This window comes from Homo sapiens, chromosome 4, assembly GCF_000001405.40.
Source record: "Homo sapiens chromosome 4, GRCh38.p14 Primary Assembly".
NCBI lineage: Eukaryota > Metazoa > Chordata > Mammalia > Primates > Hominidae > Homo > Homo sapiens.
The window spans coordinates 91,687,213-91,710,017 of record NC_000004.12 but is presented as its reverse complement, the minus strand read 5'-3'; the positions used below and the strand labels follow the sequence as shown (position 1 = coordinate 91,710,017).

General features: G+C 37.5%; 1 annotated feature.

The window, feature by feature from the left end:
* Positions 15,778 to 16,320: an enhancer, noted in NCBI's record as "NANOG-H3K27ac hESC enhancer chr4:92614849-92615391 (GRCh37/hg19 assembly coordinates)". NCBI's record gives its function as "activates a minimal SCP1, AML or CMV promoter by ChIP-STARR-seq in naive and primed H9 embryonic stem cells {active_cell/tissue: H9 hESC(naive and primed)}" and the evidence as "EXISTENCE:reporter gene assay evidence [ECO:0000049][PMID:30033119]".

Genomic DNA, 22,805 nt, shown 5'->3' with positions numbered 1-22,805 from the left:
CTTTTATTAAGTGTTTTGCTTTGTCATTATCATGCAGCTTACATAGACCATCTTATAACAGTCTATTAAAAGCCAATAACAAGCTAACTTTGAATGTATACAACCCTAAACATTTATTCCCTCCTCCATTTGTGTTTTTGATGACAGAATTTCCATCATTTATAAAATGTATCCTTGGGTAATATTAGCTGTAGTTTTTTTTTAAATAGTTGTTATATTAGCCCTTGTTCTAGGAATAAAATTGTTTTACCGTCATTAAAGTCCTACTGTATTCTAAATATGTCTCTGTTTTACTTATACCATTGAATTCTGTGATTTCTTATGCTTTATGTTATTAATTAGAAACTTCTGTTTTAGTTTAAATAACTCCGTTTAGCAATTCATGTAAAACAGCTCTGGCAGTGAAAAGCTCCCTTAGCTTTTGTTTGTCTGGAAAAGTTTTTCTTTGTCTCTTATTTCTGAAAAACGGCTTTGCTAGATAGAATATTCTTGGTTAGTAATTTTTTTTCATTCAGCTCTTTAACTATATCATCCCACTCTCTCCTGGCCAGTAGGGTTTCTGCTGAGAGATCTGATAGTCATATTGGCACTAATTTATATGTAATGCGCATTTGTCTCTTGCTGCTTTCAGAATTTTTTTGTCTTTGATATTGGTACTTTGATTACTATGTGTCTTTATAAACTTCTCTTTGGGTTAAATTTAGAGAGCTCTGCACTTCCTATACCTGTATGTTGGTGTCTAACATCAAATTAAGAAAATTTTCAATCATTATTTCTTTAAATATACTTTCTAGTGCTCTTTTTTGCTTCCTTCTTCTCTATACCTCTTATTATGTGAAGGTTTGGACTCTTCATGGTGTCTCATAATTTCTGTAGGCTTTCTTGATTCTTTGCAATCATTTTGTCTTTTTACTCCTCTGGTTAACTTTAAATATTCTTTCAGCTCACTGATTCTTTCTTCTGCTTGGTTACGTCTGCCATTGAAGATTTCTATTAAATTTTTTGGTTCCATCATTGTATTTTTTATCTCTAGGATTTATATTTGCTTCTCCTTTATTGCTTCTATTTTCTTGACAAATTTTTCACTTTGGGTATTGTTTAACAATTTCATTGAATCTATTTATGTATTCTTGTAGTTTACTGAACATTTTAAAGAGAATTATTCGGAATTATTTGTTAGTGAGCACATAGATCACCATTTTTAAAATCTATAGATAGAATATTTTCAGTTCCTTTTGGAGGCGTCATTATTTTCTAATTTTTCATAATCTTCCTGTCCTTGTATTGTTGTCTGTGCATTTGAGGACACAGCTCCCTGTTCTGGACTATACAGGTTTTCTTTGGCAAAAATAGACTTTCACTCTTTCTTTAGGCTGTGACTCTGGAGGGGCCAGCTAGTGATGACTCTGGGCAGGCAGAGCTTATTGTAGGTCTAGTTAACTGGGCGATTGCCTTTGCAGGGATGTCAGGTGGGGCTCCTCTGTCTGGTGGACACTGAGTTTCTTCCATAACATAGCTATTGTGAAAAAGACTGCAACGGAAATAGAAGTACAGAGATCTCTTTGACATACTGAATCTACTTCCTTTTGAAATATACTGAGAAATTGTTTGAAAGCTTGTCCCCTCCAAAATGCATGTTGAAATTTAATTGTCATTGTAATTGCATTAAGAAGTAAAACTTTTGAGAGGTAATTAACCCATGAGAGCCCTTCCATCATGAGTGGGTTTAATATCTTTTAGAAAGGGGATTTTAGGAATGGGTTCTCTCTCTCTCTCTCTGTCTCCTTCTCTCTCTCTTTCTCCTTATCTCATTCCCTCTTAGCTTTTCTGCTCTTCTGCTATGTAAAGAAGAGTGTTTCTCCTCTCCAGAGGATGCAGTATCCAAGGCACTAGACTGGAAGCAGAGACGAGGCTCTTATCAGACACCAGACCTACTGACACATTGAAATTGGACTTGCCAGGCCCTAAAACTGTGAGCCAATAAGTTTCTGTTCATTATAAATTAGCTAGTCTGTGGTATTCAGTTCTTGCAGCTCAAAAGGATTAAGACATATGGTAATTCTATTTTTAGTTTTCTGATGAAACTCCATACTGTTTTCCATAATGGCTGTATTAGCTTAGATTCCTAACAACAGTGTACAAGGATTCCCCTTTCTCTACATTCTCACCAACACTGTTGTCTTTTGTCTTTCGGAAAACAGCCATTCTAACAGATGTGAGGTAATCTTTCATTATGGTTTAAATATACATTTCCTTGATGAATAGAAATGTAAAGCACTTTGTCATTTACCTATTTGCCGTTTGTATTTTTTCTTTTGAGAAATGTCTCTTTAGGTTTATAACTACCCGACTCATGACAATCAACAATGCCTTCAGTTATTGACAATGTCTCTAGAGGGACAAAATTATCCCTGTATGAGAAATAGTGACTTAGGAAAATGTAAAACTAGGAATATCACAGTGGAACTAGGAAAACACAGTGAAAGAGTTTAACAAGATAATTACAAAATATTTCAGGATGATTAAAATCCAATTTTTTTATGTTTTTTAATTTTTTAATTTTTTTTTATTTTTTTGCATTGGTAAAATGTCTTTATTTTGTTCTCATACTTTATTTTTGTATTTTTGAATTTTTTTATTATACTTTAAGTTTTAGGGTACATGTGCACAACGTGCAGGTTAGTTACATATGTACACATGTGCCATGTTGGTGTGCTGCACCCATTAACTCGTCATTTAACATTAGGTATATTTCCTAATTCTATCCCTCCCTCCTCCCCCCACCCCACAACAGGCCCCAGTGTGTGATGTTCCCCTTCCTGTGTCCATGTGTTCTCATTGTTCAATTCCCACCTGTGAGTGAGAACATGCAGTGTTTGGTTTTTTGTCCTTGCGATAGTTTGCTGAGAATGATGGTCTCCAGCTTCATCCATGTCCCTACAAAGGACATGAACTCATCATTGTTTATGGCTGCATAGTATTCCATGGTGTATATGTGCCACATTTTCTTAATCCATTCTACCATTGATGGACATTTGGGTTGGTTCCAAGTCTTTGCTATTGTGAATAGTGCCACAATAAACATACGTGTGCATGTGTCTTTATAGCAGCATGAATTATAATCCCTTGGGTATATACCCAGTAATGGCATGGCTGGGTCAAATGGTATTTCTAGTTCTAGATCCCTGAGGAATCACCACACTGACTTCCACAATGGTTGAACTAGTTTACAGTCCCACCAACAGTGTAAAAGTGTTCCTATTTCTCCACATCCTCTCCAGCACCTGTTGTTTCCTGACTATTTAATCATTGCCATTCTAACTGGTGTGAGATGGTATCTCATTGTGGTTTTGATTTGCATTTCTCTAATGGCCAGTGATGATGAGCATTTTTTCATGTGTCTTTTGGCTGCATAAATGTCTTCTTTTGAGAATTGTCTGTTCATAGCCTTCACCCACTTGTTGATGGGGTTGTTTGTTTTTTTCTTGTAAATTTGTTTGAGGAAGGCTGGTTCAACATATGCAAATCAATAAATGTAATCCAGCATGTAAACAGAACCAACGACAAAAACCATATGATTACCTCAATAGATGCAGAAAAGGCCTTTGTCAAAATTCAACAACGCTTCATGCTAAAAACTCTCAATAAATTAGGTATTCATGGGACGTATCTCAAAATAATAAGAGCTATCTATGACAAACCCACAGACAATATCATACTGAATGGGCAAAAACTGGAAGCATTCCCTTTGAAAACTGGCACGAGACAGGGATGCCCTCTCTCACCAGTCCTATTCAGCATAGTGTTGGAAGTTCTGGCCAGGGCAATCAGGCAGGAGAAGGAAATAGAGGGTATTCAATTAGGAAAAGAGGAAGTCAAATTGTCCCTGTTTGCAGATGACATGATTTTATCTCTAGAAAACCCCATCGTCTCAGCCCAAAATCTCCTTAAACTGATAGGCAACTTCAGCAAAGTCTCAGGATACAAAATCAATGTAAAAAAATCACAAGCATTCTTATACACCAATAACAGACAAACAGAGAGCCAAATCATGAGTGAACTCCCATTCACAATTGCTTCAAAGAGAATAAAATACCTAGGAATCCAACTTACAAGGGATGTGAAGGACCTCTTCAAGGAGAACTACAAACCACTGCTCAATGAAATAAAAGAGCATACAAACAAATGGAACAACATTCCATTCTCAAGGGTAGGAAGAATTAATATCGTGAAAATGGCCATACTGCCCAAGGTAATTTATAGATTCAATGCCATCCCCATCAAGCTACCAATGACTTTCTTCACAGAACTGGAAAAAACTACTTTAAAGTTCATATGAAACCAAAAAAGAGCTCACATTGCCAAGTCAATCCTAAGCCAAAAGAACAAAGCTGGAGGCATCACACTACCTGACTTCAAATTATACTACAAGGCTACAGTAACCAAAACAGCATGGCACTGGTACCAAAACAGAGATACAGACCAATGGAACAGAACGGAGCCCTCAGAAATAATGCCACATATCTTCAACCATCTGATCTTTGACAAAACTGACAAAAACAAGCAATGGGGAAATGATTCCCTATTGAATAAATGTTGCTGGGAAAAACTGGTGAAAATTGTTTAAAAAAAAAAAACATACACAACCATTTCATGTACCTGGAAATTGTCCTAAGGGTCTACAAGAGATGAAGTAACATTTATTCAGGAAATTCTACTAAATCTCAATGAGATCATTAAGCATCTCTGGTAATTGAGCCGCAACCCTCTCCTTCCTTGTGTACCCCAACCAGTTCAGCATGATGGTTGGTCCACTTTGGATATTGCCAAAAAAAAAAGGCTCCCTGTGCCCCAGCACCCAGTCAAGAACTATAATATCTATAATATCTTCCTGATATGGGCAGGCTTCACATTGTTGATGAAATAGATTTCCACAAAATTGTTCAGCAAAATCAATAAATAGATAAATTAAAAACAACAAGTCCCTGAAAGGCATGAGGTATGTTTCTACAATATATTATTTAAAATGCCTAGTTTTCAATATAAAATTACTAAATATAAAGGAAAGTGTGACCCTTACAGGTAGAGTAGGGAGCAAACAACAAAAGCTGCATGCAAGAAGACTTAGATATCAGGTTAAACAAACAAATATAGTACCTCAAAACAGCTATTATAAATATTTTTGAAGAACTAAAGAATCCCATGCTAAAGAATCAAAGAGAATGTTTTATGATAATCAAGCATCAAATAGATAATATAAATAGATATAAAGTTATAAAACAATCAAATGAAAACTTGAGTTGAAAGTAAAATAACTCAGTGAAAAATATACCAGAATAGCCTAAGAGTAGATTTAAGGTGGCAGAAGAAAAACATCGGCAAATGTGAAAATAGATCAATAGAGGTTGTGCAACCCAAAGAAGAGTGGAAAAAAGAATAAAGAAAAATGAACAGATACTCAAAGAACCGTGGGACACATTAAGCAAAACAAAATACACATAATGGGAGTAATAGAAGGAGAGGGGAGAAAACAGCAAAGACTTTTTTTTTTAATAATACCTGAAAACTCCACAAGTTTGATGAAAAACATTAATTTACACATCCAAAGAGTTCAACAAGCTCAGAGAATTATAAACGAAAACATATTCATACACAAACACATCATAATAAAAATTTTGAAAGACAAACTCCTAGAAAGAAACTAAAACCCAAAACTCACTCAAAAAATAAAGATAAAAATCTCAATAAACGAATAATAATTAAAAGATGAATTACTAATTTAAAAAAATCTTCCCATAAACTGATGCTTAGATATAAAATGATTTACTGGTATATACTACCAAATATTTAAAGAATAAATTAATACAATTTTTTGTACAAAGTCTTCCAAAAATAGAAGAAAAGGAAACAACTACCTAACTAGTTCTGTGAGAATAGTATTACCTTGATCCAAAACCAGGGAAAAAGAAAATACAACTTACAAGTTACAAGAAAATATAACTACTGATCCATGACTCTTAGGAATATATATGCACAAATTAACAAAATACTAACACACCAGATTGGGCAACATACAAAAAAAATACTGTCCCATGACCAAGTAGGATATATTTTAGAAATAAAAGGTTGGGTTAGCAATCAGAATAAATGCATGGAATGCCTTGTATCTATAGACAAAGGAGAAAAGCCTCTTAACCCTCTAAATAAACATAGAAAAACATTTAACAAAATCTGACATCCTTTTATGATAAAAACAAATTAAAAAATAAACAGAAACTGTCTCAACTTGATAAAGGGCATCTCTAAGGAACCTACAGCTGATGTCATATTTAATTAATACTGAGTGCTTTCACTTTAAGATGAGGAATAAGAACCCCCAATCTTGCCACTTTTACTCATCATTGTATAAGAGATCCTAACCAGGCCAATTAGGCAAGAAAATAAAATGAAATAATATAAATTAGAAAGGTAGAATTAGAATTATATCTATTTACAGATCATATGAGGTTATGTATGGAGTTTCTTAGGAATCCAGAAAAATAAACTACTAGAATAAGTAAATTCACCAATGTTGCAGTGTATAAGATCAATACACAAAATTGTATTTCTCTAGACTAATGATGAACAATTAAAGGACATTTAGAAAACAATTCTATTTATCTTAACTAAATTATTTCTATAATGAAATTTAGAAAACTCTTCAATTTAACTTAATGTAGAAGGTACAAAACTTATACTGTGAAATAAATATTTTTGAAGGAAATTTAAAAAGATGACAAAATTTTTAAATTGCCATATTCATAAATAGGAAAATGTAATGTTGTTAATATGGAAATATTTCCAAAATTGATATATAGATTAAATGCAATCTCTATCATAAGCTCAGCTGGTGTTTATTCTGAAATTGGCAAGCTTATGTTAAACTTTATATTAAAAGTCAAAATAGCTAAAACAATCTTGCAAAAGGAAGAACAAAGTTGGAAGAGTCATGCTTCAAAATTTTGGAAGTTTATACAAAGCTCTAGTAATCGACAGAGTGTGGTAGTGGCATAAAGACAGATATATGGATTGAGAATATAATTGAGCATCCAGAAAAATACCTATACATTGATGGTCAACGGATTTTTGACAAGAGTGCTAAGACCATTCAATGGGGGAAAGAGTATTATCTTCAACAAGTAGTGCCCAAAGCAGTGGACACTCACATGCAAAAGAAAGAAGTTGAATCTTCAACCTCACACTATAAATAAAAGCTAACTCAAAAGAGATCATATACATAAATGTAACAGCTATAAGTATGAAATGCTTAGAAGAAAAATATAGGAATAAATCCTTGTGATCTTGATTAGCCTACATAGATATGACACCAAAAGCACAAATAGCAAAAGAAAAAAATAAACAAATTGGATGTATCTAAATTGATAACTTTTATGTCATATTTACATACCTATTTTTTAAATTTTCTTTTAGAATTAGTGGGCACATGTGCAGGTTTCTTACATAGGTATATTGCATGATGCTGAGGTTTGAAGTATGAATGAATCTGTCACCCAGGTTGTTAGCATAGTATCCAATAAGTGGTATGTTTTGCCACTTATCCTCTTCCCTTTCTCCCACCTCTTGTATTCCCCAGTGCCTATTGTTCCCATTTTTATGCCATGTGTACTCACTCGTAAGTGAAAACATGCAATATTTGTTTTTCTGTTTCTATGTTAGTTCACTTAGGATAATGGTTACCAGCTGCAAAAGACATGGTTTCATTCTTCTTTAAGGCTGCATAGTACTCCATGGTGTACATATACCACATTTTCCTTATCTAATCCACCACTGATGAGCACCTGGGTTCATTCCATGTCTTTGCTATTGTGAATAGTGCAGCAATGAGCGTATGAGTACATGACTCTTTTTAGTAGAACAAATTATTTTCCTTTGGGTATATACCCAGTAATGGCATTGCACAGTCAAATGGTAGGTTCAACTCACAGTTCTTTGAGAAATCTCCAAAATGCTTTGCTGTTGGGAATAGGCCCCCAAATCTGGCCATAAACTGGCCCCAACACTGGCCATAAAAAAAATCTCTGCAGCACTGTGACATGTTAGTGACGACCATGATGTCCACCCTGGAAGATTGTGGGTTTACCAGAATTAGGGCAAGGAACACCTGGCCCACCCAGGGCAGAAAACTGCTTAAAGGTGTTCTTAAACCACAAACAATAGCATGAGTGATCTGTGCCTTAAGGACATGCTCCTGCTGCAGATAACTAGACAGACCCATCCCTTTACTTTGGCCCATCCCTTTGTTTCTTGTAAGGAATGCTTTTAATCTACAATCTATAGAAACAATGCCTATCACTGGCTTGCTGTCAATAAATATGTGGGTAAAACTCTGTTCACAGCTGTCAGCTCTGAAGGCTGTCAGCCCCCTAATTTCCCACTCCACCCTCTATATTTCTGTGTGTGTGTGTTTAATTCCTCTAGCGCTCCTGGGTTAGGGTCTCCATGACCAAGTTGGTCTCAGCAAGTGGTGTCCATATGTTGGGGCTCGAACCCAGGTCGAAGGGTCACTGGAGCGACGGTTGGAGAATGTGGAACTAAGCTGTAGGACATCTGAGTACTCTTTAAAGCAATCCCCATGGTAAATAAGAAGGGGAGCTCAGAAGCATCAGGGTAACAATGGGACAAGTGTGGGCTCTGGTTTGTTCCACCTCAGAACCTTTTCACACTGATTATGATGAGGAAGGAGAGTATAACAAAGTAACAGAAGACATGACAGAGCAGGTTTGTTTGCCAGCTAAAGCTAAAGCAGCAAAAGAGGAAGAGATTCATCTCTATGCTTCTGCACCCCCTCATTATTTTGAAGAAAAAGAGTGGCCTGACCCTCCAGATCTTTCTTTTCTGGAGGACACTGGGAAAAAAGTAGTTGCCCCAGTGACTGTTCAAGCAGCACCTTGAGCAACTGCTCTCAGTTCTATTCAGGCAGGAATTCAGCAAGCTAGATGAGAGGGTGATTTAGAGGCTTGGCAGTTATCTGTTAGAATACACCCCCCAGATCAACAGGGAAATATAGCCACATTTGAGTCTTTTCCCTTTCAATTACTTAAAGAATTTTAAAAAGCTATTAATGAATATGGACCAGGTTCTCCTTTTGTAATGGGACTGTTAAAGAATGTTGTTATTTCCAGTTGGATTATTCCTACTGACTGGGATGCTCTTACTCGAGCTTGTTTAACTCCTGCTCAGTTCTTACAATTTAAAACTTGGTGGCAGATGAAGCTTCCATTCAGCCTTCTCACATTGCCCAGACCCAACCTTAAATTAATATAACTGCAGACCAACTTTTGGGGTTCAGTGGCTGGGCTGGTTTAGATGCACGAGTGGTCATGCAGGATGATGCCATAGAGCAGCTTAGAGGAGTGTACATTCAAGCTTGGGAAAAAATCACTTCAGGTGGAGAACAATACCCTTCCTTTAGTGCTATGAAACAGGGACCAAAAGAACCATACATGGATTTTATAGCTCAGTTACAGGAGTCTCTTAAAAAGGTAATTGCAGATTCGGCTGCTCAGGATATAGTGTTGCAGTTATTAGTTTTCAACAATGCTAATCCCAATTGCCAGGCTGCTCTGGGACCTATTAGAGGGAAGGCACATTTAGTTGATTATATCAAGGTCTGTGATGGTATTGGAGGTAATCAGCATAAAGCTACTTTGTTGGCACAGGCAAAGGCAGGACTGAGAGTGGATAAAGGAAATACTCCATTTCCTGGAGCTTATTTTAACTGCTGGAAGCATGGTCATATTAAAAAAGAATGTAGAAAAAATCAGCAAGTCAGGCAGGCAGATAGGGAAAAAAAGAAAACTGCTGAGCCTGAAGTATGTCCAAAATGTAAAAAAGGAAAACATTGGGTAATCAATGTCACTCTAATTGATAAAGTTGGGACCCTGATTTCGGGAAATGCCATGAGGGGCCCGTCTCAGGCCCCATTAGAAACCAGGGCATTTCCAGCTCAGGCCATTCCCTCACCCCTGTACAATGTCTGTCCCCCACCACAGCTGGTAGTGCTGCAGTAGATTTATGCTGCACAAAAGCTGTGAGTCTTCTGTCTGGGGAACCCACGCAAAAGGTCCCAACAGGGGTCTATGGACCCTTGCCAGCAGGGATGATAGGATTACTTCTAGGAAGGTCTAGTTTAAACTTAAAAGGGGTACAAGTACAAACAGGAATCATTGATTCAGATTACAAAGGGGAAATTCAAATTGTTGTATCTACTTCTGTTCCCTGGAAAGCAGAGCCAGGAGAGCACATAGCACAGCTCCTGATTGTGCCGTATGTGGAAATGGAAAAAAGTGAAATTAAATGAACAGGAGGATTTGGAAGCACAAATAAGGCAAAGCAGCTTATTGGGTGAATCAATTACTGATAAACAACCTACGTCTGAAATAACTATTCAGGGAAAGAAATTTAAAGGTTTGGTAGATACAGGAGTGGACATTTCAATTATTTCTCTGCAGTATTGGCTGTCTGAGTGGCCAGTTCAACCCACTCAATTTAATGTAGTTGGAGTTGGTAAACCCCCTGAAGTCTATCAAAGCAGTTATATTTTGCTTTGTGAAGGGCCTGATGGACAACCTGGGACTATTCAACCAATTATAACTTCTGTACCTATAAATTTATGGGGAAGAGATTTATTACAACAATGGGGAGCACAAGTTCTAATTCCAGAACAATTATATTGCCCTCAGAGTCAACATGTGATGCATGAAATGGGGTATGTCCCTGGTGTGGGACTAGGCAAAAATTTGCAAGGTTTGAAAGAACCACTTAAAGCAGAAAGACAAAGTTCCTGCCAAGGTTTAGGCTATCATTTTTGATGGTGGCCATTGTAAAACCTCCAGAACCTATACCTTTAAAATGGTTAACAGATAAGCCAATTTGGATGGAACGATGGCCACTAAATAAAGAGAAACTGGAGGCTTCAGAGGAATTACTGAACAATTAGAAAATGGGCACATAGCTCCAACATTTTCCCCTTGGAATTCTCCAGTTTTTGTAATTAAGAAAAAATCAGGTAAATGGAGAATGTTAACTGACTTAAGAGCCATTAATTCAGTTATACAACCTATGGGGGCATTACAGCCAGGATTGCCTTCTCCTGCTATAATTCCAAAAAATTGGCCTTTAGTCGTCATAGATTTAAAAGACTCTTTCTTTACTATCCCCTTAGCGGACAAGACTGTGAATGGTTTGCGTTTATAATTCCTGCAGTAAACAACCTGCAGCCTGCTAAGCATTTTCACTGGAAAGTGTTGCCACAAGGCATGTTAAACAGTACAACAATTTGCCAGACTTACGTAGGGCAAGCAATTGAACCTACTCCTAAAAATTTTTCACAGTGTTACATTATTCATTATATGGATGATATACTTTGTGCTGCCCTCACTTGAGAAATATTACTCCAATGTTATGATCACTTGCAAAATTTGATTTCTTGTGCTGGTTTAATTATAGCTCCTGACAAAATTCAAACTACTACTCCCTACTCCTACTTGGGGACCTTAGTAAATGACTCTACCATTGTGCCACAGAAAGTAGCCATAAGTAGGGATCAATTGAAAATTTTTAAATGACTTTCAAAAATTACTAGGGGGCATTAATTGGATACGACTTGCTCTAGGCATTCCTACCTATGCCATGAGTAATCTATTTTCTATCCTTAGAGGAGATCCTATTCTCACTATCCCTTGGCAATTAACAAAGGAGGCTGAGGCAGAGTTACAGCTAATCAAAAAGTAAGTCCATAAAGCCCAAATAAATAGAATAGATCCAGAGAAGACTCTAGATTTGCTAATTTTTCCAACTCAGGATTCACCTACTGATGTTATTATCCAAGAGCAGGACTTAGTAGAATGGCTTTTTCTTCCACATACTAATTCACAGACTCTAATTCCTTATTTGGATCAAATCGCTACTATGGTAGGAAATGGGAGAACTCGGATTGTTAAATTACACAGATATGATCCTGGAAAAATTATTGTCCCTCTCACAAAGGCAAAAATACAGAAGGCTTTTATAAATAGTCTTACTTGGCAAATCCATTTAGCTGACTGTGAGTATTCTCGATAATCATTTTCCTAAAATGAAACTGTCAATTTTTTAATTGGTTATTCCTGTGTTTCTCCAGGACTGAATCAACAGCCGATTTGGATACCATCAAGACACTTGAAACCTTATCATGAGCCAGATGTCAAGGAAGAGATTCTGGAAGGATCCTAAGGACCACCCCGCTTGCAGCCATGTCAAGACTGATGCTGAGGAGGACCCCAACTGTCACGAGTAACACCCGTCGACACAGCCACCTACCTGGGGACAGATCAAGAAGCTGTCACAGATGGTGGAAGAAAACCTAAGGAAAGTGGGACAATTAGTCACAATGAGTAATTTAATGATAGCTATGATAGTGGTGATCACCATTCCCATGAGTATTCCTTCAACAAGGGCTGACACAGAGAACAGTTATACTTATTGGGCATATTTATCAATCTTGGCTGGCAATAATGCCTGGATGTAATCACTCTATGACACAGTTACACATGCTTTCTGATCTCAGTATTTACCATAATAAATCTGCTCCTATAATTAAGGCATACCGCCCTCACAAACCTATTTGTAAACAGGATTGGACCCAGTCAGAAAAAATGAACAGTTGTTTGGGAAGATTTCATTGCAGAACAGGTGGAGGTGCTGTGCAATGATTCCTATGGAATCATTATTGATTGGTCCCCTAAGGGGATGTTTAGCTTAAATTGCACCCCTCAGTCTGTGTGCCACAGCCACACTATGTTCAGCTGGTCTGAACAAAACAGTCAGATGGTAGAAATGGTAAGAAGTATGTCAAGAGTTCCTATTATCTGGAACCATGGTGGTATAGTGGCACCTCAACCTCAAATGATATGGCCCATTGTAGGAGCTAAACATAAGGATTTGTGGAAACTATTAATAACTATTAATAAGATACAAATTTGGGAAAGAATAAAAAATCATCTAGAAGGACACTCTACAAACTTCTCTTTGGATATTACAAAATAAAAAGAAAAAAATTTAAAGCATCCCAGGCACACCTGAACTTAATGCCAGGAACTGGAGTGTTTGAAGGAGCTGCAGACAGATTAGCAGCTAATAACCCATTAAAATGGATAAAAACACTTGGAAGCTCTGTGATTTCAATGTTGATTGTGCTTTTAATCTGTGTTGTTTGTGTTTGTATAGTCTGCAGATGCTGATCCTGACTCCTGCAAGGAGTAGCTCGCCATGACAAAGCTGCCTTTGCTTTTATCGCTTTGCAAATCAAAGAAGGTGGACATGTTGGGAATAGGCCCCCAAATCCGGCCATAAACTAGCCACAAGACTGGCCATAAATTTTGTTTAAAATCTCTGCAGCAATGTGACATGTTCGTGATGACCATGTCGTCCATGCTGGAAGGTTGTTGGTTTACCTGAATGAGGGCAAGGAACATCTGGTCCACCCAGGGTGGAAAACCGCTTAAAGGTGTTCTTAAACCACAAAAATAGCATGAGTGATCTGTGCCTTAAGGACATGCTCCTGCTGCAGATAACTAGACAGACCCATACCTTTATTTCCAATAAGGAATACTTTTAGTTAATCTATAATCTATAGAAACAATGCTTATCACTGGCTTGCTGTCAATAAATATGTGGGTAAAACTCTGTTCATGGTTCTCAGCTCTGAAGGCTGTCAGCCCCCTGATTTCCCACTCCATGCTCTATATTTCTGTGTGTGTGTGTGTGTCTTTAATTCCTCTAGCACCGCTGTGTTACAGTCTTAACGACTGAGCTGGTCTCGACACTTTCTATACTTGCTGATATGGTTTGGCTGTGTCCCAGTGCAAAATATCATCTTGAATTGTAATCCCTATAATTCTCATGTGTCAAGGGAGAGATCAAGTGGAGGTATTTGAATCATGGGAGTGGTTTCCCCCATGCAGCTCTTGTGATAGTGAGTGAATTCTCACAAGATCTGATGTGTTTTATAAGTGTGTGGTAGTGCCTCCTGCATTTATTCTCCTTCCTACTGCCATGTAACGAAGGTGCCCTGCTTCCTCTTTGCCTTCTGCCATAATTGTAGGTTTCCTGAGGCCTCCCCAGCCATGCAGAACTGTAAGTCTATTAAACCTTTTTATTTTATAAATTACCCAGTCTCAGGCAGTTCTTTATGTCAGTGTGAGAACGAACTAATACAGTAAATTGATACTGGTAGAGTGGGGGTACTTCTATAAAGATACATGAAAATGTGGAAATGACTTTGGAACTGGGTAACAGGCAGAGGTTGGAGCAGTTTCGAAGGCTCAGAAGAAGAAAGAAAGATGTGAGAAAGTTTAGAACTTTTTAAAGACTTGTTAAATGGTTTTAGCCAAAATGCTGATAGTAATAAGGACAATGAAGTCTAGGCAGAGGTGGTCTCAGATGGAGATAAGGAACTTGTTGGGAACTGGAATAAAGGTGATTTTTGCTATGCTTTAGCAAAGAGGCTGGTGGCATTTTGCCCTTGCCCTAGATCTGTGGAACTTTGAACTTGAAAGAGATGATTTGGGGTATTTGGCAGAAGAAATTTCTAGGCAACAAAATGTTCATGATATGACTTGGGTGCTCTTTAAAACATTCAGTTTTCTGCATTCACAAAGAGATGGTCTGGAGTTGGAATTTATGTTTAAAAGAGAAGTAGAGCATAAAAGTTTGAAAAACTTGCAACCTGCTGGTGCAATAGAAAAGAAAAACCCATTGTGTTAATCTGTCCTCATGATGCTATAAAGACATACCTGAGATTGCATAATTTATTTTTAAAAAGTAGTTCAATTCACTCACAGTTCTTCACAGCTGAGGAGATATCAGGAAACCTACAATCATGGCAAAGGGAAAGCAAACACATCCTTTTTCACATGGCATCAGGAGAGAGAAAAGCAGAGCAAAGAGGGAAAATCCCCTGAAAAAACCATGAGATATTTTGAGAGCTCACTATCATGTGAAGAGCTTGGGAGACTGCCCCCATCATTTAATGAGCTCCCACACATGTGGGGATTACAATTCTGATTACGATTCAAGATGAGATTTTGGGTGGGGACACAGTCAAACCATATCATTCTGCCCATGGCCCCACCCAAATCTCATGTCCTCATATTTCAAAACACAATCATTCCTTTCCAACAATCCTCCCAAATCTGCCAGATACCCTAAATCATCTCTCTGAAGTTCAAACTTTCACAGATTTTTAGGGCATGGGCAAAAGTCACCAATCCCTTTGCTAAAGCATAGCAAGAGTCACCTTTACTCCAGTTCCCAACAAGTTCCTCATCTCCATCTAAGACCACTTCATCCTGGACTTCATTGTCCAAATCACTATCAGCATTTTGGTTAAAGCCATTCAAGTCTCTAGGAAGTTCCATACTTTCCCACATCCTCCTGTCTTCTTCTGAGCCCTCCAAACTGTTCCAGCCTCTGCCTGTTACCAATTCCAAAATTGTTTTCACATTTTGGGGTATCCTATGGCAGCATTCCACCTGCTGTGGCACGAATTTACTATTTTAGTTCATTCTCACCTGACTATAAAGACATATGTGACACTGGGTAATTTATAAAGAAAATAGGTTTAATTGACTCACTGTTCTGCATGGCTGGGGAGGCAGCAGGAAATTTACAATGATGGCAGAAGGGGAAGTAAATATGTCCTTCTTCACGTGGTGAGAGGAGAGAGAAATGCAGAGTGAAAGGGGCACAGTCCCTTATAAAAACAATCAGATCTTGTGAGAACTCATTCACTATCATGAGAACAGTATGGGGGAGCCACCCCCATTATCTAATCACCTCCCATGAGGTCCTTCCCCCCACATGTGGGATTACAATTCCGATTACAGTTCGAGATGAGAGTTTAGGTGAGGACGCAGCCAAACCATATTACCCATTTTCTGAGAAGAAATTCAAGCCTGCTGCATAAATTTGCATAAGAAAGGAGAAGCCAAATGTTAATCACCCAGACAATGGGGAAAATGTCTCCAGGACATGTCAGAGGTCTTCGCAGCAGCCCCTTGTATCATAGGTCCAGAGATCTATGAAAAAATTGGTGTTGTGGCCAGGCCCAGGCCCTTGCTGCTTTTTGCAGTCTCAGGACTTGGTGCCCTGCATCCCAGCTGTGGCTAAAAGGGGCCAATGTACAGCTCAGGTCATTGCTTCAGAGGGTGCAAGCCCTAAGCCTTGGTGGCTTACACATGGCGTTAGGCCTGCAGGTGCACAGAAATCAAGAATTGAGGTTGGGAACCTCTGCCTAGATTTCTGAGGATGTATGGAAACACTTGGATGCCTAGGCAGACATTTGCTGCAGGGGTGGAGCCCTCATGGAGAACGACTGCTAGAACGGTGTGGAAAGGATATGGGGGTTGGATCCCCCACACAGTGGCCCCACTGGGCCACTGCCTAGTAGAGCTGTGAGAAGAGGGGCATGGTTCTCCAGACTCCAGATGGTAGATCCACCAAGAGCTTGCACCCTATGCCTGAAAAATCCACAGACACTGAACGCCAGCCCATGAAAGCAGCCGAGGAGGCCTGTACCCTGCAAAGCCACAGGGGCAGAAATGCCCAAGGCCATGTCAGCCCATCTCTTGCATCAGCATGACCTGGATGTGAGACTTAGAGTCAAAGGAGATCATTTTGCAGTTTTAAGATTCGACTACACCACTGGATTTCAGACTTGCATGGGGCCTGTAGGCCCTTCGTTTTGGGCAATTTCTCCCATTTGGAATGGGTGTGTTTACTCAATGCCTGTATCCCCATTGTATCTAGGATGTGACTAACTTGCTTGTGATTTTACTGGCTCATAGACAGAAGGGACTTGCCTTGTCTCAGATGAGACTTAAGACTTGGAATTTGGGCTAATGCTTGAATAAATTAAGATTTTTGAGAATTGATGGAAAAGTATTGAGGACATGGTATTTCAGCAGGGCCAGAGGCAGAATGATATGGTTTGGCTGTTTCCTCACCTAAAATCTCACCTTGAATTGTAATCCCCGTAATCTTCACATGTCAAGGGAGAGACCAGGCGGAGGTAATTTAATCATGGGATCGGTTTCTTCCATGCTGTTCTTGTAATTGTGAGTGAGTCTTCCCAAGATCTAATCATTTTATAAGTGTGTGGCAGTGCCTCCTGCATTCATTCTCCCTCCTGCCATCTTGTGAAGAAAGTGCTTTGCTTCACCTTTGCCTTCTGCCATGATTGTAAGTTTCCTGAGGCCTCCCTAGCCATGTGGAACTGTGAGTCAATTTAACCTCTTTCTTTTATAAATTACCCAGTCTGGGGCAGTTCTTTATAGCAGTGTGAAAACAGACTAACACAGCGGCCAAAATAATTTACATTCCCACCAACAGTGTGTAAGTGTTCCCTTTTCTCTGTAGCCTCATCAACATCTGTTATTTTTTGACTGTTTAACAAAAACCATTTGAACTGATGTGTGCAGCTTCATTTTTGCATTCTCTGTTCTGTTATATTGGTCTATGTGTCTACTCTTATACCAGTAACATGCTCTTGTGGTTACTGTAGCCTTGGAATCTGCTTGGCTTCTGGGTAGGCCTCAGGAAACTTACAATCACTGTGGAAGGCGACAAGGTAGCAGGCACTTCACATGCACAGAACAGGAGCAAGAGAGAATGAGGGGAGGGAGCCACACACTTTTAAATGAGCAGATTTCATGAGAACTTAATAATTATTATGAGGATAGTGCTAAGGAGATGGCAATGAACCATGCATGAAACACTACCTTCATAATGCAATCACTCCCATCATGTCTCACCTTCAATACTGGGGGTTACAATTCAACATGAGATTCTGTCAGGGACAAATATTCAAAACTATATCACCCCTTTGCTAGGGGATGTGGATTGTACAGAATGTTGTTTAGAGTTTTTTGGCTTTGCTTCTATAGCCCTGTGTACATCAGTCAACTGGTTTTATATTGGGATGTACAATTTGACCCACAGGCTAATAGATGGTACTTGTGGGTAAGAGCTGGCTGTAACCAAGGTAGATGGATACATATTTGATCTTGTGTTCAATTGTAATTCCCTGTATTGGAGGTGGGGCCTGGTGAGAGTGACTGGATCATGACGGAAGTTTCTCATGAATGATTCATCACCATCTCCTTGGTACTGCTCTTGTGATATTGAGTGAGTTATTGTGAGATCTGGTCATTTAAAAGTGTGTGGCATCTCACCCATCACTCTCTCTTGCCCTGGCTTTAGCCATGTGATTTGCCTGCTCCCCCTTCATCTTCCTTCATGATTGTAAGTTTCCTGAGGCCTCTGAAGAAGCAAAGCAGATGCCAAGCAGATGCCAACATCATGCTTCCTTTACAGACTATGGAGCTATGAGCCAATTAAAACTTTTATCTTTATAAATTACCCAATCTGAGATTTTTCTTTATAGCAATGTAAGAATGAACTAACATGGGGTTGGGAGGGGGCAAAAAAGCAACAACAAAGGAAACTTCAATATTATTATAGGGAAAGGAAGAAAGGAAAATAAATTATGGTACTATGTAAAATCTGAATGTTGTGATACCACCAAAGAATCATATCACCTCTCCAGTAATGCTCCCTAAAGAAAATGGAAACTCAAAAATAACAGATGAAGAATTCAAAGCATGGATTACTAGGAAGCTCAATGAGATCTAGGGCAAGGTTGAAAATTAACACAAAGAAACCTTTAAAGCAACCCAGGAAATGAAGAAAGAGATAAACATTTTAAAGAGAAATCTATTGGAACTTCTGGAACAGAAAAATTCACTTAAGGAATTTTGAAACACAACTGAAAACTTTATCAATAGACTAGACAAAGGAGAGGAAATAATGTTAGAGCTTGAAAGACAATCTTTTGTTCTAGCCCAGTCACACAGAAAGAAAAAAAAATGAATAAAGTTTTCGAGAAAAAGGATAATGTAAAGCAACCAAATTATTGGCATTCCTTGGAGAGAATAAGAAAAAGTATCAACCTAGAAAATTTATCTAAGGGATTAATCAAAAAAATTCCTAATCTTGCTAGAGGGGTACACATCTAGGTGTAAGAAATCCAGAAAACACCTGTAAGAAAGTATACAAAATGAACATCACCAAGGCATATACTCACCAGAGTGTCTAAGTCAGTGCCAAAGGTAAAATCTTAAAAGCAGCTACAAAAAAGAGTCAGATCACATACAGAGGTAACCCTGTCAGGTTAATAGTGGACTGCTAAGAAGAAACATTAAAAGCCAGAAGAGATTGAAGGCCTATTTTCAGCATTCTGAAAAAAAAAATGAAAGAAAAAGAAGTTCCAGCAATGAATTTCATATCCCACCCAACTAAGCTTCATAAGCAAAGGAGAAATAAAATCTTTTCCAGACAAGCAATTACTAAGAGAATTCATTACCACTAGACCAAACTTACAAGAGATTCTGAAGGGAGTTCTAAACATTGAAAAACAAAAAGAGATACCTCTACCACATAAACACACCAAAGTATATAGTCCATAGATACTATAAAGCAAGTACACAATAAAAACTACAAAGCAACATGCTAGCAACTTCATGATAGGTTCAGCATCTCACATATCAATATTAACCTTGAAATGGTATATGTGACACACTTAAAAGGTAGAGTGGCAAGTTGGAAAGAATAGCAAGACCCATCTCTCTGCTATCTTTCAGAGATCCATCACATGTAATGACATCCATAGGCTCAAAGTAAAGGCTTGAAAAAAGTTCTATCATGCAAACAGAAAACAAACAAACAAAGCAGAGCTTGCTGTTTGTATAGCAGATGAAACAGACATTAATGAAAAACATTAAAAACAGGCAAACAAAGACACTACATATGATAAGGGGTTCAATTCATCAAGAAGACTTAACCATCCCAAATATATATGCACACAACACTGGAGCACCTAGATTCATAAGATTCTTTCTAGAGCTATGAAAAGATTTAGAAAGCCAAACAATTATATAAGTGGACTTCAACACCCTAGTCACAGCATTAAACAGAATGTCGAGGCAGAAAGCTAACAAATTCTGGATTTTAATTTGATACTTGACCAATTAGAACTAGTTGGCATTTACAAACTACTCCCTCCAGCAACCACAGAATATATATTTTTCTCATCTGCACACCAAACATGCTATAAGATCAACCATATGCTCAGCTATGTAGCAAGTCTCAAAATTCAAAAAAAAATCAAAATCATACCAACCATACTCTCAGACCACATTGGAATAAAAATAGAAGTCAATACTAAGAAGATCTATCAAAACCACACAATTGCATAGAAATTAGACAACTTGCTTCTGAATGACTTTTTGGTAAACAATGAAGGCAGAAATCTTTTTTAAATATATATTTGAAATAAATGAAAACATATCAAGAAGCAACATACCCAAATCTCTTGAATTCAGCCAAAAAAATGTTAAGAGGAAAGTTTATATCTCTAAGCAGCTACATCAATAAGTTATAAAAATCTTAAATTAATGATCTCACATCCCACCTAGAAGAACTAGAAAAATAAGAACAAAGTAACCCAAAAGCTAACAGAAGAAAATAAATAAATAAAATCAGAACAGAACTAAATGAAATTTAGACCCAAAAATACTTAAAAAGGATTAAAGAAAACAAAAGCTGATTTTTGAAAGGATAAACAAAATTGATAGCCTGCTTCTTAGATTAACAAAGAAAAAGAGAGAGAAGATCCAAATAAGCACAATAAAAAATGACAAAGGTGACATTACAACAGATACCATAGAATTACAAAAGATCTTCAGAGTCTATTGTGAACATCTCTATGTACACAAACTAGAAAATCCAGAAAAGATGTATAAATTCTGGCAAACAAACAATCTCCCAACATTGAATCAGGAAGAAATTCAAACCTTTAACAGACTAATACCTAATTCAGAAATGGAATTGGTCATAAAAAATCTAACAGCCATAAAAAGCCCTGGACCAGATGGATTCACAGCTGAACTCTATCAGACATACAGAGAAGAGCTAGTATCAATTCTACTGAAATTATTCCAGAAAATCAAAGAGGAGGAACTCCTTAACTCTTTCTACAAAGCCAGCATCACCCTAATGCTAAAACCTGGCAAAGACACATGCAAAAAAGAAGATATCAGGCTAAAATTGCTGCTGAACATAGACACAAAAATCCTCAACAAAATACTAGCAAACCAAATCCAGTAGCACATCAAAAAGCTAATCCCCCACAGTCAAGTAGATTTTATCCCTGGGATGCAAGGTTGGTTCAACATACACAAATCAATAAATATGATTCATCACATAAACATAAATACAAAATCCAGTAACACATCAAAAAGCTAATCCCTGACAATCAAGTAGACTTTATCCCTAGGATGCAAGGTTAGTTCAAATATACAAATCAATAAATATGATTCATCACATAAACAGAAATAAAAAACTAAACCACATGATCATCTCAATGATGCAGAAAAAGCCTTTGATAATACTAAACATCCCTTCAAGTTAAAAACTCTGATTGAGTTAGTCATTGAAAGAACATACCTCAAAATAATAAGAGCCCTGTCTGACAAACCCACAGCCAATATCATACTGAACATCAAAAAGCTGGACGTGTTCTCCAATAAAACTGGAACAAGATAAGGATGTTCACTCTTACCACTCCTATTCAACATAGTAATGGAAGTCCCAGCCATAACAATCAGGTAAGATAAAGAAATTAAAGGAATTCAAGTAGAAAGGGAAGAAGTCAAACTATCTCTTTTCACTGAAGATATAATTCTATACCTAGAAAATTCTACTGGACCTTAAAAGTGATTTCAGAAATATTTCAAGATACAAAACCAATATACAAAATCAACAGCAATTCAATACGCAAGTGATGTTCAAGTTGAGAGCCAAATCAAAAACACAGTCCCACAAAACAGCACTCCTCCCAAATACACACAAATACCTAGGCATAAATCTAACCAAAAAGGTGAGTGATCTCTACAAAGAGAACTACAGAACACTGCTGAAAGAAACCAGAGATGACATAAATGGAAAAATATTCAATGCTCATGGAGTGGAAAAACTGATATCATTAAAATGGCCATACTTCCCAAAGCAATCTATAGATTCAATACTATTCCTGTTAAACTATCAATGTCTTTTTTCACAGAAATATATTAAAAAAACTATTTTAAAATTCATATGGAACCAAAAAGGAGCCCAAATAGAGAAAGCAATCCTAACCAAAAAGAACAAAGCTGGAAGCAGCACATTTCCTGACGTCAAACTATACGATAACCAAAAAACATGATAATGGTACAAAAACAGACACATAGACTAATAGAACAGAATAGAAGACCCAGAAACAAAGCCATACACCTGAAAATATCTAATCTTATTGACAAAGCTGACAAAAATAAGCAATGGAGAAACGATCCCCTATTCAATAAATGGTCCTGAAATAACTGGCAGAAGAACTTAACTGGACCCCTACCTTTCACCATAAAAAAAAAAAAAACTCAAGATTTTTTCAAGATTCAAATATAAGACCTCAAACTATAAATGCTAAAAGAAAACTTAGAAAATGCTATTATTATTGTTAGCCTTGGCAAAGAATTTATATGTAAGTCCTCAAAATCAATTGCAACAAGAACAAAAATTGACAAAAAGGACATTATTAAATTAAGGAGCTTTCGAACAGCAAAAGAAACTATAACAACCCACAGAATGGGAGAAAATATTTGAAAACTATGCAT